Here is a 15,351-nt window from a genome sequence, read left to right as displayed (position 1 = left end):
TTTTCCGCTTTGGGTATTAGGGTAATTCTGGCCTCATAGAATAAGTTAGAAAGTGTCCCCTCTACTTTTATTTTTCTAGAAGAGATTATAGAGAAGTGATATTATTTCTTCCTTCAGTGTTTGGTAGAATTCCAATTTGGTAGCCAGTGAAACTGAGGCAGGTGCTTTCTCTTTTGGAAGGTTGTTAACATTAATCCAATTTTTAAAATGTATATAACGCTATTCAGATATCTACTTCACGTTGTGTGAATTATGGTAGATTTTTGTCTTTAAAGCAACTGGTCCATTTAACCTAAGTTATGAAATTTGTGAGAACAGAGTTGTTCATAATATTCCTTTATTATCTTTTTAGTGTCCTTGGAATCAGTAGTAATGGTCCCTTTTTCATTTCTGATAATAGAAATTTATGTCTTCTTTCTTTTGTTCTTGGTTAGAGTGGCTAGAGGCTTATCAATTATATTGGTCTTTTCAAAGAAACAGCTTTTGATTTTGTTGATTTTTCTCTATTAACTTTTGGTTTCCAATTTCATGGCCTTCTGCACTAATTTTTATTATGTGTTTTATCTTATTGCTTTCAGTTTGTATTATTCTTCTTTCTCTAACTTCCTAAGGTGGAAGCTTAGGTTATTAATTTTAGATCTTTCTTTTTTTCTTGTCTAATACATGCATTCAGTGCTACAGATTTCCACCTAAAGCATTACTTTCTCTGTATCCAAAAATGTTGATAGATTGTATTTTTATTTCATTTAGTTCAAAATATTTAAAAATGTTTATTGAGACTTATTTGACCCATGTGTTATTTAGAAGTGTGTTTTTTAAGGACCCAATATTTCTGGGTTTCCAGCTATTTTTCTGTTATAGATTTTTAGTTTAATTTTGCTGTGGTCTAAGAGCATACATTGTATGATTTTTATTCTTTTAAATTTGTTATGGTTAGGCCCAGGTTGTCATTAATCTTGGTGAATGTTCTATGTGTGTTTGAGAACAATGTGTATTTTGCTGTTGTGTGGGATGAAGTAGTCTATAGATGTCAATTATATCCAGTTGATTTACGATGCTGTTGAACTCACATATATTCTTACTGATTTTGTGCCTGCTAGCTGTGTCCATTTCTGGTAGAGGGGTGTTAAAATCTCCAACTATCACAGTGAATTTATGTTTGTCCTTGCAGTTCTAGCAGTTTTGGCCACATGTATTTTGATGCTCTGTAGTGAGACACATACACGGTTAAGAAATTATATGCCCTCTTGGAGAATTGGCCCCTGTATCATTATATAATGGTCTTCTCTATCCTGATCATTTTTCTTGCTCAGATGTCCATTTTGCCTAAAATTAACATAGCTACTCCAGCTTTATTTTTATTAGTTCTATCATAACATATTTTTCTCCATCCCTTAACTTTTCATCTGTCCGTGCCATTCCATTTAGTGAGAGTTTTTATAAAAAGCATATAGTAGGGTTCTGTTTTTTAAGCACTCTGTAAGTCCCTCTCGTTTGCTTAAACTATTTAGGTGATTCACATTTAAAATGATTATTGACATAGTTGAATTAACATCTACCACATGTGTAACTGTCATATATTCATTGCAATTGTTATTTGTTGCTTTTTTTATTAGTAGTATACTTTAAGTTTTAGGGTACATGTGCACAATGTGCAGGTTAGTTACATATGTATACATGTGCCATGTTGGTGTGCTGCACCCATTAACTCATCATTTAGCGTTAGGTATGTCTCCTAATGCTATCCCTCCCCCTCCCCCCAGCCCACAACAGTCCCCAGTGTGTGATGTTCCCCTTCTTGTGTCCATGTGTTCTCATTGTTCAATTCCCACCTATGAGTGAGAACATCTGGTGTTTGGTTTTTTGTCCTTGCGATAGTTTGCTGAGAATGATGGTTTCCAGCTTCATCCGTGTCCCTACAAAGGACATGAACTCATCATTTTTTATGGCTGCATAGTATTCTATGGTGTATATGTGCCACATTTTCTTAATCCAGTCTATCATTGTTGGACATTTGGGTTGGTTCCAAGTCTTTGCTATTGTGAATAGTGCCACAATAAACATACGTGTGCATGTGTCTTTATAGCAGCATGATTTATAATCCTTTGGGTATATACCCAGTAATGGGATGGCTGGGTCAGATGGTATTTCTAGTTCTAGATCCCTGAGGAATCGCCACACTGACTTCCACAATGGTTGAACTAGTTTACAGTCCCACCAACAGTGTAAAAGTGTTCCTATTTCTCCACATCCTCTCCAGCACCTGTTGATTCCTGACTTTTTAATGATCACTATTCTAACTGGTGTGAGATGGTATCTCATTGTGGTTTTGATTTGCATTTCTCTGATGGCCAGTGATGATGAGCATTTTTTCATGTGTTTTTTGGCTGCATAAATGTCTTCTTTTGAGAAGTGTCTGTTCATATCCTTTGCCCACTTTTTGATGGGGTTGTTTGTTTTTTTCTTGTAAATTTGTTTGAGTTCATTGTAGATTCTGGATATTAGCCCTTTGTCAGATGAGTAGGTTGCAAAAATTTTCTCCCATTTTGTAGGTTGCCTGTTCACTCTGATGGTAGTTTCTTTTGCTGTGCAGAAGCTCTTGAGTTTAATTAGATCCCATTTGTCAATTTTGGCTTTTGTTGCCATTGCTTTTGGTGTTTTAGACATGAAGTCCTTGCCCATGCCTATGTCCTGAATGGTATTGCCTAGGTTTTCTTCTAGGGTTTTTATGGTTTTAGGTCTAACATGTAAGTCTTTAATCCATGTTGAATTAATTTTTGTGTAAGGTTTAAGGAAGGGATCCAGTTTCAGCTTTCTACATATGGCTAGCCAGTTTTCCCAGCACCATTTATTAAATAGGGAATCCTTTCCCCATTTCTTGTTTTTGTCAGGTTTGTCAAAGATCAGATAGTTGTAGATATGCGGCATTATTTCTGAGGGCTCTGTTCTGTTCCATTGATCTATATCTCTGTTTTGAGACTTTCAATAAGACTTAGACTCCCAACAATAACAGTGGGAGACTTTAACACCCACTGACAATATTAGACAGATCATCAAGGGAGAAAATTAAAAAGTTATTCAGGGCCTGAACTCTCTTTCAGGGGCACAGTCTCTTTCAGGGGCACAAATGAATTACAGTTTTCAATCTCTTTACATTATCCCATATTTCTTGGAGGTTTTGTTCATTCCTTTTCATCCTTTCTTCTGTATTGTTGTCTAACTATCTTATTTCAGAAAGTCAGTCTTCAAGCTCTGAGATTCTTTCCTCTTCTAGGTCTATTCTGCTGTTAATACTTGTGATTGCATTACGACATTCTCGTACTGTTGTTTTTTGGCTTTATCGTCTGGTTATGTTCTTCTATATACTCGCTATTCTGTATTGTTTTATTGTGATTCTCAGCTTCCTTAGATTGGATTTAAATGTACTCCTGCATCTCAATCCATATTTTAAATTCTATTTCTGTCATTTCAGCCATCTCAACCCAGTTCAGAACTCTTGCTGGAGAGATACTGTGGTCATTTTGAGGAATTAAGGTGCTCTGGCTTTTTGAGTTCTTGCGCTGATTCTTCCTCATCTTTGTGGGCTGATGTTCCTTCAGTCTTTGAAGTTACTGTCTTCTGATTTTCTCTTTCTTGTATTCCATTTGATGCCATTGAGGATTTGATTGTGGTATAAGGTAGGTTCATTAACTAGCTTCAATTCTGGAAGCTTTTAGGGGGTCAAGACTCAGCTCCCAACTCCTGACTGCATGCTCTAACTTTGAGGGACTTGCATCAGGTCCTAACTTTGTTCTCTGGTTCCTCAAACTTAGGAACCCACTGTACTGGGGAGGGGGAGGTGCTCCTAGACCACTGATCTCTACATTCTGATGTGTGGTGCCAACCAAAGCATTTCATAGGATGGTGGCAATGGGGTCTGTCCTTGCTCACATGTGCCAGCAGCAGCAGCAGCAGCAGTAACAGCACGGCAGGGTGCATGCTCATCAGCAGCAGCAGGGTGCTGGCAGATGCTGAGGTGCCTGCCTATGTGTAGACATTCACAGTAGCGGTAACTGTGGTATGGCTGGGGGATGGGTAGGGGCCCCCAACTGGTGACTGGGTGCATGGTCATGCTGGTGATGGTGTTAGCACAGGGGTGGGCCCTGGTGGCTCCAGGTCGGAGTGTACCCTCTATGTGCATTCACACAGGCTGGGTTGGTTGCTCAAGGCAAGGGAAGGTCTGCTGTTCTCCATGCCTAGTTTTGCTCTTGCAGCAGTGTTGGCACAGGGGCAGGATGTTGACAAGAGCAGGGCTGGTGGGCTCTGTGCCTGCCAAGGCTCCAACTGCAATGGCAGTATGGCAGGTCGAGTGGGGGAGGATGGAGTGCTCTCCTGTCAGCAGCAGTGGCAGGACAGGGTGCACATGCAAAAGTGTTCTGGAAAGGCAGGGCAGGCAAAATCCACCCAGGCACACACATTCTGGCAAAACAATGTGGGAAGTGGCCATGGGCCCATGGGAAGCTGCAGTTGGGGAGGAAGCAGGTGGACTGATATATGTCCATCTGCAGCGGCCACACTGCTGGAGTTCTCCACCTGTCAGTCATGGTCCACCAGCACAGGAACTTCATGTGGGCCCCCAAGGGCACCCAAGGCATGCCTGCAAGCAGACATGGCCAGGCTGGGGCCCCAGAAGAAGCCAGCAGACCAAGAGGTGCTCAGATCCGACCAGCCTCATCTAATGGGCAAGACTCCCCTGCAGAGTTCAGGTGCAGCAGTTCCCCTAGGGCTACAATCTCCTATGGGAGCAAGTTGAGCCTAGCGGGATGGGCCTCTCTTGCTAGGCTCCACAATAGACACTCCCACATCAAACCCTCTGGGCTCCTAATCAGCTGGCTTGCTGCCCTTGCCACTTCTCTAAGCATCTCTCCCTACCAACTCAAGTGTCCATGGCGGTTGAGGGGTCTCTCTCCTGCCAGGATTGCAGAGGCCCCTGGGGAGAGTGGATTTCTTCTTGCCAATTCCAATCACCCATTCCCCCAAAGTCATAGGGGGACAGGAATGAGCCCCAGTGTGCAGTAGCCCCATGCAAGGTTTCCAGCTTCCTCCTCCTCCTTCAGCCCAGCTTCTGTGTCTTCCCTCCATCCTCTCTCAGTTCTTTCCCTCTGAAGATGTGTTAGGAGTGTGTCTGTCTTCCTCATCCCTCAGTGGCAGCTGTTTCACCTGGCTTCTAGTTGTGTCTAGTTGGCCATCTTGCACAAATTTTGAAGTTCTTTTTAACATTTTTTGCAAGTCACATTTAAGACAACAAATTCCCATAATTTTAAATTTTGTTTGTTCAAGAAAGTCTTTATTCCTCCTTTACTTTTGAAGGATAATTTTGCTGTGTACAGAATTATAGGCTGGTGGGGGGTTTTTCTTCCAACACTTAAAATATTTAATTTCACTGTCTTCTTGCTTGCATGTTTTCTAAAGAGAAGTCTATATAATTCTTATCCTTCTTCATCTTGTAGACAAGCTATTTTTTTCCCTCTGACTTCTTGGAAGTTTTTTTTTGTCTTTGGTTTTTTTCTACAGCAAATATGAGATGACTAAGTGTAGATATTTTGGTATTTATTCTGGTTTGTGTTCTCTGAACTTCTTGGATGTTTGGCGTCTGTTATTAATATTTAGGAAATTCTCAGTCTTTGTTTTCAGATATTTGTTCTGTTCCTTTCTCTCCTTCTTCTTCTTCTTCTGATACTGCCATTACATGTATGTTATACCTTTTGAGATCATCCCACAGTTCTTGGATATTCTATTTCAGTTCCATTTTTTCATTCTTTTTTCTCTTTGCATATTAATTTTGAAAGTTTCCGCTGATGTATCTTCAAGCTCACTGATTCTTTCCTCAGCAATGTCCAGTCTACTAATGAACTTACTAAAAGTATTCTTAATTTCTATTTTACGATGTTTTTGATTTCTAGCAATTCCTTTTTTTCTTAAGATTTCCTTCTCTCTGCTTACATAAACCATCTGATCTTACATGTTGTTCACTTTTTCAACTAAAGCCCTTAGGATATTAATCATAGTTGTTTTAAATTTGCAATATAATAAGTTGAACATTTCTGTCATATCTGAGGCTGGTTCTGATGCCTGCTTTGTCTCTTCAGGTTGTGTTTTTTGCCTTTTAACATCCTTTGTATTTTTTTATTGATAGATAGACATGTTGTAGCAGGTAAAGTGAACTGAGGTAAATAGGCCGTTAGCATGAGGTTTTATGCTTATCTGGCTAGGAGTTAATTCTGCGCTCTCTCAGTTGTGATCTGCTATTATTCCACTGAAGCCCTGTTGACGTGGTGGTAAAATATTAGGGAGGGGAAGCACTATATGATTAAATCTTTCATTTTTGGTGGGCCAGCATCCCTGGGACTTGATTTCCAGAAGAAATTTTTAGGCTTTTTTGGATTTCCTCACGTTACATGAGACAGGAAAGCCAGAGAGGGCTGCAGACATGCATTGACCTTCCTCTAAGCTCATGTAAATTAGTTTCCCTAAGGAACATGTCTGTGTCATGAAGAACAGGAACCTCTGGGCATATTCCAAAAATGTTACTTTTCCCCTCTCCTTCCTCCAGAAGGTATTTCTTTGATTTTCACAGTGAAAATCTGGTAAGGCTGCTGGAGGTAAAATTCAAGAAAGTGTGGGCCTCTCCAACCTTTAAGACTAGGCTTTCAGGCATTTTTCTCTCTCAAGGTAGCTCACGCTCAGACTCCACCAAGTCTTCAATTACTCCAGTATTCCTATGAGCTTCCAGAGGCTTGTGCTCACATCAGGATGTGATTCTCTGCATTTGCCTTTATCACCACTTTTCCAATGATGGTTTGCCCTGTGACCTCAATTCTCTAAATGATCTAAGAAGAATGTTAATTTTCAGTTTGTTCATGTTTTTATTGTTGTTGCTTTGTGAGAATGAGAGTGTTAACTGCCAAACTTTTATCTGTCCAAAAGGAAAACTGAAAACCACAAATCAGTTGACTTTGAGTCCATGCAAAGAGAGGTTATCCAGATTGAGCCTGATTTAATTAGATGGAGTCCTTAAAAGAGGGTCTGGGCCCTTCCAGTGGATCCGCAAGGCTTCTGAGCTGGCTTTGAAGATGCAAGCTGTTATTAAGTGAAATTAATGTGATTGGGCCACACCTAGGGAACTATGCTCAGCTTTTAGAAGCTGAGGCCTCAGTCCTACTAATACAAGGAACTGAACTCTGCTAACAATCATCTGTGCTCTAATGAGGTTCAGGACACATTATCCTAAAATATGGCACATTGGCATTTGAGAAAACAGCAGAAACAGGAGGTTCTCTCTCTGCCTTCCTCCTGCCCTTCTCCCTTGAAGCAGGCCATTAAAACCTAGGAAGAAGTTTCTGACCTTCCTGTGAAGCAGGTCGTAAGTCCTTCATGAAAGCGGTACCTTCCCTATATTCAGAGGAAAGGAACATCCTGTTATTGGTGATACAGGGAGACAGAAAATAATCTGAATGAGCAGGCTTTGCTGTGTTTCCTCCAGTTTATTACCATAAATCACACTTTTTAATCCAATCATACTTCTCTATGACTATTCACTTCTTCATCAAACCTATCACAAAAATACACAGTTTTACCAATTTTGGGGGGTCTTTATTTTGTTATGGAGGCTTCTGCATCATGTGCAACTTACATTAAATAAATTCATATGCTTTTCTTTTGTTGATTTATCTTTGGTTATAGAGTCTTCAACCATGAACCTAAGTAAGATGAGTGAGGAACAGATATTTTTCCTCATCTACAGCTGAGAAAAGGGTTTCTAGCTCCCAAAAGGAACACAGCTCAGCTGACACCTTGAATGCAAACTTGTGAGAACCTGAGTAGTGGACCCAGCAAAGCCACATCCAGACTCCTGACCCACTGACACTGTGAGATAGTAGCTATGACTTTTGTAAGCTACTAAGTTTGTAGCAATAGAAAACTAGCCATGTGTGTGAATATTTGTGAATAAGTGTGTGTATGTATCTGTGTATACTTACCTAGAAAGGCTAACATATTCATAAAATTTATCTGGAAGAATAAGTAAGGACCCAAACAGTATTTGTCTACTGTGGGTGTTGGAAATGAGACAGATTGGGAGCACAGGGAGGGTAGGAAAGGGGCCTTTCATTGTCTTCCCATTTAAAATTTTTGATGTTTAAATTATACAAATGAATTACTAATACAAAAATATTTTAACATGGGGGATGGGTGCTATTTCAAATACATCCCTTGTGAGTGCCCGGAGTGCCCTCTGCATCCCAGTTTTTGACTTCCCTGCAGGAAGCAATGGGAAGGAATCCGGTGAAAGGTACCTCAATTTCTAAGAGTTTATTATTATTATTACTATCATTATTATTATTTTTGAAGCAGAGACTCACTTTATCACTCAGGCTGAAGTGCAGTGGCGCAATCTCAGCTCACTGCAACCTCCGCCTCCCAGATTCAAGCGATTCTCATGCCTCAGCCTCCCAAGTAGCTAGGATTTCTGGTGCAGACCACCACACCCCTGATTTTTGTATTTTCAGTAGAGACAGGGTTTTGCCAGGCTGGTCTCGAACTGATCTCGAGTGATCCCCCTCCTCAGCCTCCCAGTGTTGGGATTACAGGTGTGAGCCCCCACACCTTGTCAATTTCTAAGAATTTTTGCACAAGTAAAGGATCATCAGGGGAACAGAGAAATAAGAATGGCAGAAATGCAAATTGCTGATCAGGCTACAAATGAATGTGCACTTCATGGATAAAAGTTTCATTCTAAACATGAAGCTAATTCTAAGCAGTTCTTCCACTGAATAATTTGAAAGAAAAATCTAACTGTATCATTTTGTCCCCAAATTTTATGACTGGATTTATGTCAAATACTGGACAGCATAATCTCTACTTTTATCATCTATTTAAAGAAAGTTATTTATTCTAGTGGAAAACTGGGTCGAGCTAAACATGTGGTACTTAAATGTAAAACATTTTTGGAGAGCTGCAAAGAAACGTTTATCTGTTGGTATAAGTGTGATGTGAAATGTAAAATGTATGAGACGCAGCTATAAAAGAGCATGACTGACTTTTTCTTGTCTTTTTTTTTAACAAATGTGCTCAAGTTTTTACAACCAAGGGGATTTTGTTTCCTTTCAATGTCCACCTTGAGATGTTTGTTTCACTCTAACGGAGCTGCTGCTAGCTAAGTTTTTGCATTGCTGATTTCAAAGCTATCCTAATAAACTTGTAGCATGTTTTTGTGGATTTCTTCATTGCTTTCCATCTGAAATGGTTTGGCTGTGTCCCCACCCAAATCTCACCTTAAATTGTAATAACCACCACGTATGAAGGGTGGGGTGAGGTGGGGATAATTGAATCATGGAGTCTGTTTCCCCCATACTGTTCTTGTGGTAGTGAATAAGTCTCATGAGATCCGATGTTTTATAAATGGGACTTCCCCTGCATAAGCCCTCTTGTGGAACTGTGAGTTCAATAAACCTCTTTTTCTTGATAGATTATCCAGTCTCATGTATGACTTTATTAGCAGCATGAGAACAGACTAATACACCATCCTTTAAAAATTTATTTGGTATTTCTCCATAGCCAAACTTTATTTGGACTGTAGTCTTGGGGTAAATGGAAGATGAAGGGTTAGGAGAAGGACAGAAACATATGATGAGCTTCTATCATGAAGAGCACAAGGCTTTCACCTTCTCTGTTCATCTATTCCTCTCAATAAGCCTATGTAAGGTATCATTATGTCCATTTGAAGGAAACTGAAGGTTAGTGGGAAAGCCATTTCTTTAAGCCTAAGCAGCATAAGGGCCCAACCAGAATTCAAACCAGATCTGTTTTATTGAAAATTCAAGATCACATCACCACCCTGTGCTGACTCTTACAGTATGACAGAATACTTTAGGTTGAAAATGAAAGGCACTTGTCAATAAAAGAGAAAGGCCTGAATAGTAGGCAGGTGAATAACCACCTATGCTGGGTAAATTGCTATTCTCAGAAGCAGAGGAGTAGACCACGAAAGCATAGGAACCATCCAGCAGCAAGCTGGCAGCCCATGGTGGGTCCGGCCACAGAATAACACCTTGGAGCACCTGGAGAGAGAAGTCACCACTGCTGAGGACACTTGCTCACCTTGGAGATCATTGGCTCTGCGCTGGGTGCTGGAATGCAAAAGTTTGCCCTCTGCCACCAAGTCCTCAACAGATATTGAAAAAGAAGATAATAAGCCATCGCACTCCCGAGTGCCCTACAGTCTGAGTGGTGAGCAGAAGGCATTACAGAAACCAGGCAAAAGGACCACACAGACGTGAGCTGTCTGCATGGTCTGTTCAGGAAGACAGGTCACTTGTTCTCCAAAGCAGTTACTTTCCATCCTGAAGGGTCTGAGCCAGCGGAGGCAGCTGTGCCATCTCTCTCAATCCTGTGCTAGACTCAGGGTTCCTCACTCAACCCAAAATCATGGGAATTTCAGAGGAAAGACTCTTGTCTTCCTCCTGGGGATGTCTGCTTCTTTGGTTTTATTTTGCTTTGATTTTGGTTGCTGTGCTGGCTGTCAATTCTAATGGCTGGCATACTTCAGTCTTATTGCCTGCCCTGTCTGGGTCTTGCACATTTTCCCATGCCTGCTCACCTCACTTGGTGTCACATGAAAAGTGCTTGTCGTCGCAAAACTTTCTAGCAACAGAAATGACATTCACATTCATCTTTATAATTTAGGGTAGAATATTTTAAGTAAAACAGAAGAGGAACAATTAGGGAGTGTTCTATAGGGCCCCAGAAGATTTTCCTATTGCAAAATATAATCACTTGTCAACGTGTCAAAAATTCTCTGCTTTGATTATATGAAGCAGTACAATTTCACATGGTAACAAATAATTGTCTTGATTATAGATATCAGTAGAATATTGTATAGGAAAAAATAATTGACTGATCCTGGGTCTCTTTAGAAAATGGAAACATTTGAAATTTAAATACATTTATGGAATGTGCCTACTCTGTCATTTGTTCATGGGTGGTATTTACATTAAGGAAAGCAGGACTTATTTCCTTAAAAGTACCAAAAAAGAAAGAAAGAAATGACTTACCTCTGCAAGAGAAATGCAATAAGCAAATCAGTGATTTTTCTAATTGTGTTTTCCTCATCACCACTAGTTCATGAAGAGCAAGAACACTGGAGTCCGACTTTCCTGGGTTCTGCCACTTAATAGAATGTGAAACTGAGAAAGTCATTGAGATTCTCTAGGCCTCAGCATTTGAGGACAACACCGTTTTCCTCTCAGGAGTGTCATGAGGATTAAGAGAGATCATGGATATAAAGGGTATGGCATGGAGCGTATGGTCAATAAATGGTAGCTAATAGTGGTCTGCTCATCTTTTATCCCAGACAGATGTGCAGCAGATTGGATTCCCATATTCCCAGCTTCCTGATGTTAAGTTACTACTACAGCATTTTCAAAACCTCTTGGGTTGGCCTTTTGTTTCAATTGGTACAATCTAAAGATAGTTAATGGTGAAATATATGTGTTTGTGAGTGTGTTCTTGAATCAAGATAAACTTACATTGTTTGTATTCATTTTTTAAAATCATGAATGTGTGACTTACTTCAAAATGTATCTTAAATGCTTGCATGCTTACATTTATGAGAAAAACAATATATGGCCTCGAAAATATATGTGGAACTTATTAAAGGAATCTCATTGATGGTTTCATCGTTGTGATTTGTAATTCTTAATCAGTTTACATAGATGCATTAAGTTCTTTCCAGCTGTGAAGACAGGTATGTACACAGGTCACTCTGGGGGTTGCAGCCTTCCTGCAAGAAAACACAGGAAATAAGAAATACTAAGATGTCATCTCAGCAAGACTGATGAAAACTGATCCTTTTTCAGTATGGAACATGATTCTAGTGAAAAGGCACAAAAGTAGTTTTATATCAATCATTAGACTTTTATTGTTTCCCAAGGTGACAACAAGAGATAATGCTCATTCAGATGATGGATGCATGCATACTGTTTTTAAAATATGTTACATTTATTTTCATATTGCAAAAGTAATATTTGATTATTAAATATAAAAGGGGGGAGAAAGGCAGAGAGGAAAAAAACATTCAGATTAGCGAAATGGAGAAAAAAAATCCATCTTTGAGCCTGCTACGGAAATGTACGTGCTTTTAGACTTTCTGATATTCTTGGTGCTACAATTTATTTTAAAATAGTTTTTGTTGCTGCAGAGCTATCTTACAACTTTTTTTCAGTGAAATATGCAATCAACATCTTTTCATGTCAAGAAATAGACTTCTATTAACTATTTTAGTAGCTGCCTATTATCCTATTATATGACTATACCACAATTTATCTAACCAAGATCTTATCATTAGAGATTTAGGTTGTTATTTTTATTTTCTCCTCTCCTCAAAACACTGTGACATAAAAATGCTTTATATACACTTTGTAATCTTGTTTGGTTGGCGGATCAGGAGAATACTCATTAATTTAGAGCTTGAAATAAGTGCTGACAACTCACTCTCTGGGGGTGCTCCCTGGTCAACGAGACCAGCAGTGCTGAAGTGAACATGTGCTCCCCAACGCTTCTGATGCTGGGCTCCTCTTTTGTTTTCATCTTTGGGCTCTCTTAAGGAAACAATTGATTTTCATTGTTTAATCAGCCTTTTCCTGGTTACTAACAAGGCTAACACTTCTTGTATTTTTATTGCCTATCCGAATTTATTTTATAAACAACTTGTTCATGATCTCTCCTAACTTCTAATTATTTTGTACATCATTTAAAAAATGTTCTTTATATGTTAGGAATGTGAATACATTACCTTATATTGCAATTTGATGCCAGTTTTCATTTGACCTTCTTTTTCATATTAATCAGGTTAACTCCAAATTGTTTAGTTTTATGCCTTTAAATATTATGCTATTCTTAAAAATAGCATAAATATAGCCACCTTGCATATATGAGCTATTTAAATTCAGGAGGAAACATATTTTGAGACGAACACTGGGGATGAAGTACCAAGGTGACACCCGTTATCAACGAATCTGGAGCTTTGCCAAAATACACCAACTCTGTTTTTTTTATATGTATAAAGATTTGCTGTAAGGCTCCGTCTTTGCAGGGTGAACAAATGAATCTACATAATAATACCTGCTATAGATCTGTGATAATCCTTTGAGCACATATTGAAATTTCTGCAAGGCAGCTAAATGTGTTTCTAGGATTTAAAAATTCCTAATACATTAATCTAGAAACACAGATGTCTATCTGGCCAAACAAAAGAATGCCTAATAAAGTTTTCAGTGGAAAAATTAGTGTCCAATATCTTCAGCAACTCTAATGTGCCATGGACCATAAGTGTAAGCAGCTCAGCTTTCCAGTGCATCCGGATACAGAATGCTAAATATCTAAATGCCAGGAAGTCACTCCGAGTGAGCCATTTTGTTTTAATTGAATGGCCTGGTTATAACAAGAGAAATGTGTTCAATTGGTTTACAGTGTAGAATTCTTTTACTTTAAAAGGCAAATATTTACAAGGCTTTGTTTTAATGATTTATCATGATAGATGTGTAGCAAAACATAGATCCCAATCCAAGATGGCTCAGGATTGACTCTGGCTGGGCAAAGTAGATGGTGACTTTGTTTGGGTTGGAAATCCCCAAATGACAGCTCACCTAGCCACTGTGCTGTCTTTCCATACTGCTAGTGGAAGCTTTAGAAGCTGACCTCTGTACGTTTGATCCCCCCAACCCAATTAACCTGCCAGGAATGATGGGAGTCTGGGCAGAGAAAAAAGCAACAATTTGAGCTGTCAATTTAAGCCAGGTAAACATCACTTACTAACCTACAATACTAGAATAAATGATACCCAAGGAAATAATTCTCTTTACCATCACACCTATCTGGACAATCTAAGATCATATTCTGGAGCCAATTACTTTGAAAGCAGGCATTGATTTTATTTTATTTTTACCAGCAGGAAACAAGGTGGCATAAGAAATGTTGGTTTACTACTTTGTTTATATTAATTACATACAGACGCTAGAAGGTGATAGCATAAGATTGATTGTAATTGAGCCATAAATTTAACACACAGCAACATCATCCATTTACCTGGACAGCTCTTAGCTGAAATATATTTCTAGAGCTGAAATAGGAGAAACAGGGCCTAAAGATAACAAATGATAAATGTCTTCTACCTATGGCCAAGTGAAGAAATCCTTAACATAAACTAGTGTCTACTCAGCTAGCAAAGTTATTCTCCTAGGATATGAATCATGCAAAGTTTGAATATCTAAATGACTATTTATCACCCAAGATTCCTATTTTGGCAAGTATGTCTAAGAAATTCTAAATTTTTGGAAATAAAATGGCTTTTACAATAATCTCTATATAGTATCCAGCCCCTTGAGTGGCTCTGTTCAGCCATGTAAGGTGTTTACAAGGTTAATTCAGATGTCCAGAAAGTATCTGCTCCATATAAAGTAGAGACAGTGAGGCCCTTGGGCCTGTGTGAATTACAGTAGCCAAAGAAGAATGTAAAAGGGAACCTCGAGTATGGATGACAGAGAATGCCACCGGACTACTGAGAAAAACATCTGCGTCCTGGAACTTGGTTGAAATTTATAACGTCTCTGTTGGGGTAATAGGACAGAACAACTCCAGCTTGTTCTACAGAAATTTGAAGGGGAAACAGGCTGGAAGGAGGAAGGTGAACATCTGTTCTTTAATACCCTTAAGGCTAGCAAATCTCCACCCATGGGGTGAGGAGAAGGAGAAGCCCAGAGGGCAGTGTTGATCACGTTGTAGACTTGGCCTTAGCAAAGGAGTCGACTGGGGGAAGATTAAGGGGTTTTGGGTTATGAATGGTAGACAGGCCCATAGGAGTTCAGGCTCAACAGTTCTGTAATTGACTTCAGATCAAGTCGCTCAGGTACTGGGAAAATAGAGAACACTTGGAAGGATGATAGAGTATTGGCAGACTCTGAAGCAGATAGCAAGTCACATTTGCAATGCCAGATTTCCATCTGACGTGGATTTGGAAGTAAACACATGATCAACCGTGATATCCAATTTGAAGTATAATTTGTAGTAGGTTTCCAGACGGGCCGCGTATGAGCACTGTAAGAAGGGACTGAGTCAACACTGACTGCCCCACTTGTCCGGTCCATCCCAAAGGATTCTTGAGAGGAGTGTGGAGGTGAAGCAAAGTTCTGGGCTTAGAGGGAACCTGAGAAATTGCCTGACCCAGGAAACACCTTGGGGCCATGCACAAGCTAACAGAGAGACGGCCAGGAAATGTGTGCACTTTCTCCACCCCACCATATCAAAAATGTAAATGAA

The 15,351-nt window shown here is 39.5% G+C and overlaps 1 annotated feature.

Moving 5' to 3' along the window:
- Nucleotides 4,259–4,759: an enhancer, noted in NCBI's record as "H3K4me1 hESC enhancer chr2:107803878-107804378 (GRCh37/hg19 assembly coordinates)". NCBI's record gives its function as "activates a minimal SCP1, AML or CMV promoter by ChIP-STARR-seq in primed H9 embryonic stem cells {active_cell/tissue: H9 hESC(primed)}" and the evidence as "EXISTENCE:reporter gene assay evidence [ECO:0000049][PMID:30033119]".

This window comes from Homo sapiens, chromosome 2 (genome assembly GCF_000001405.40).
Source record: "Homo sapiens chromosome 2, GRCh38.p14 Primary Assembly".
NCBI lineage: Eukaryota > Metazoa > Chordata > Mammalia > Primates > Hominidae > Homo > Homo sapiens.
This window is presented reverse-complemented; position numbering and strand designations above follow the sequence as displayed.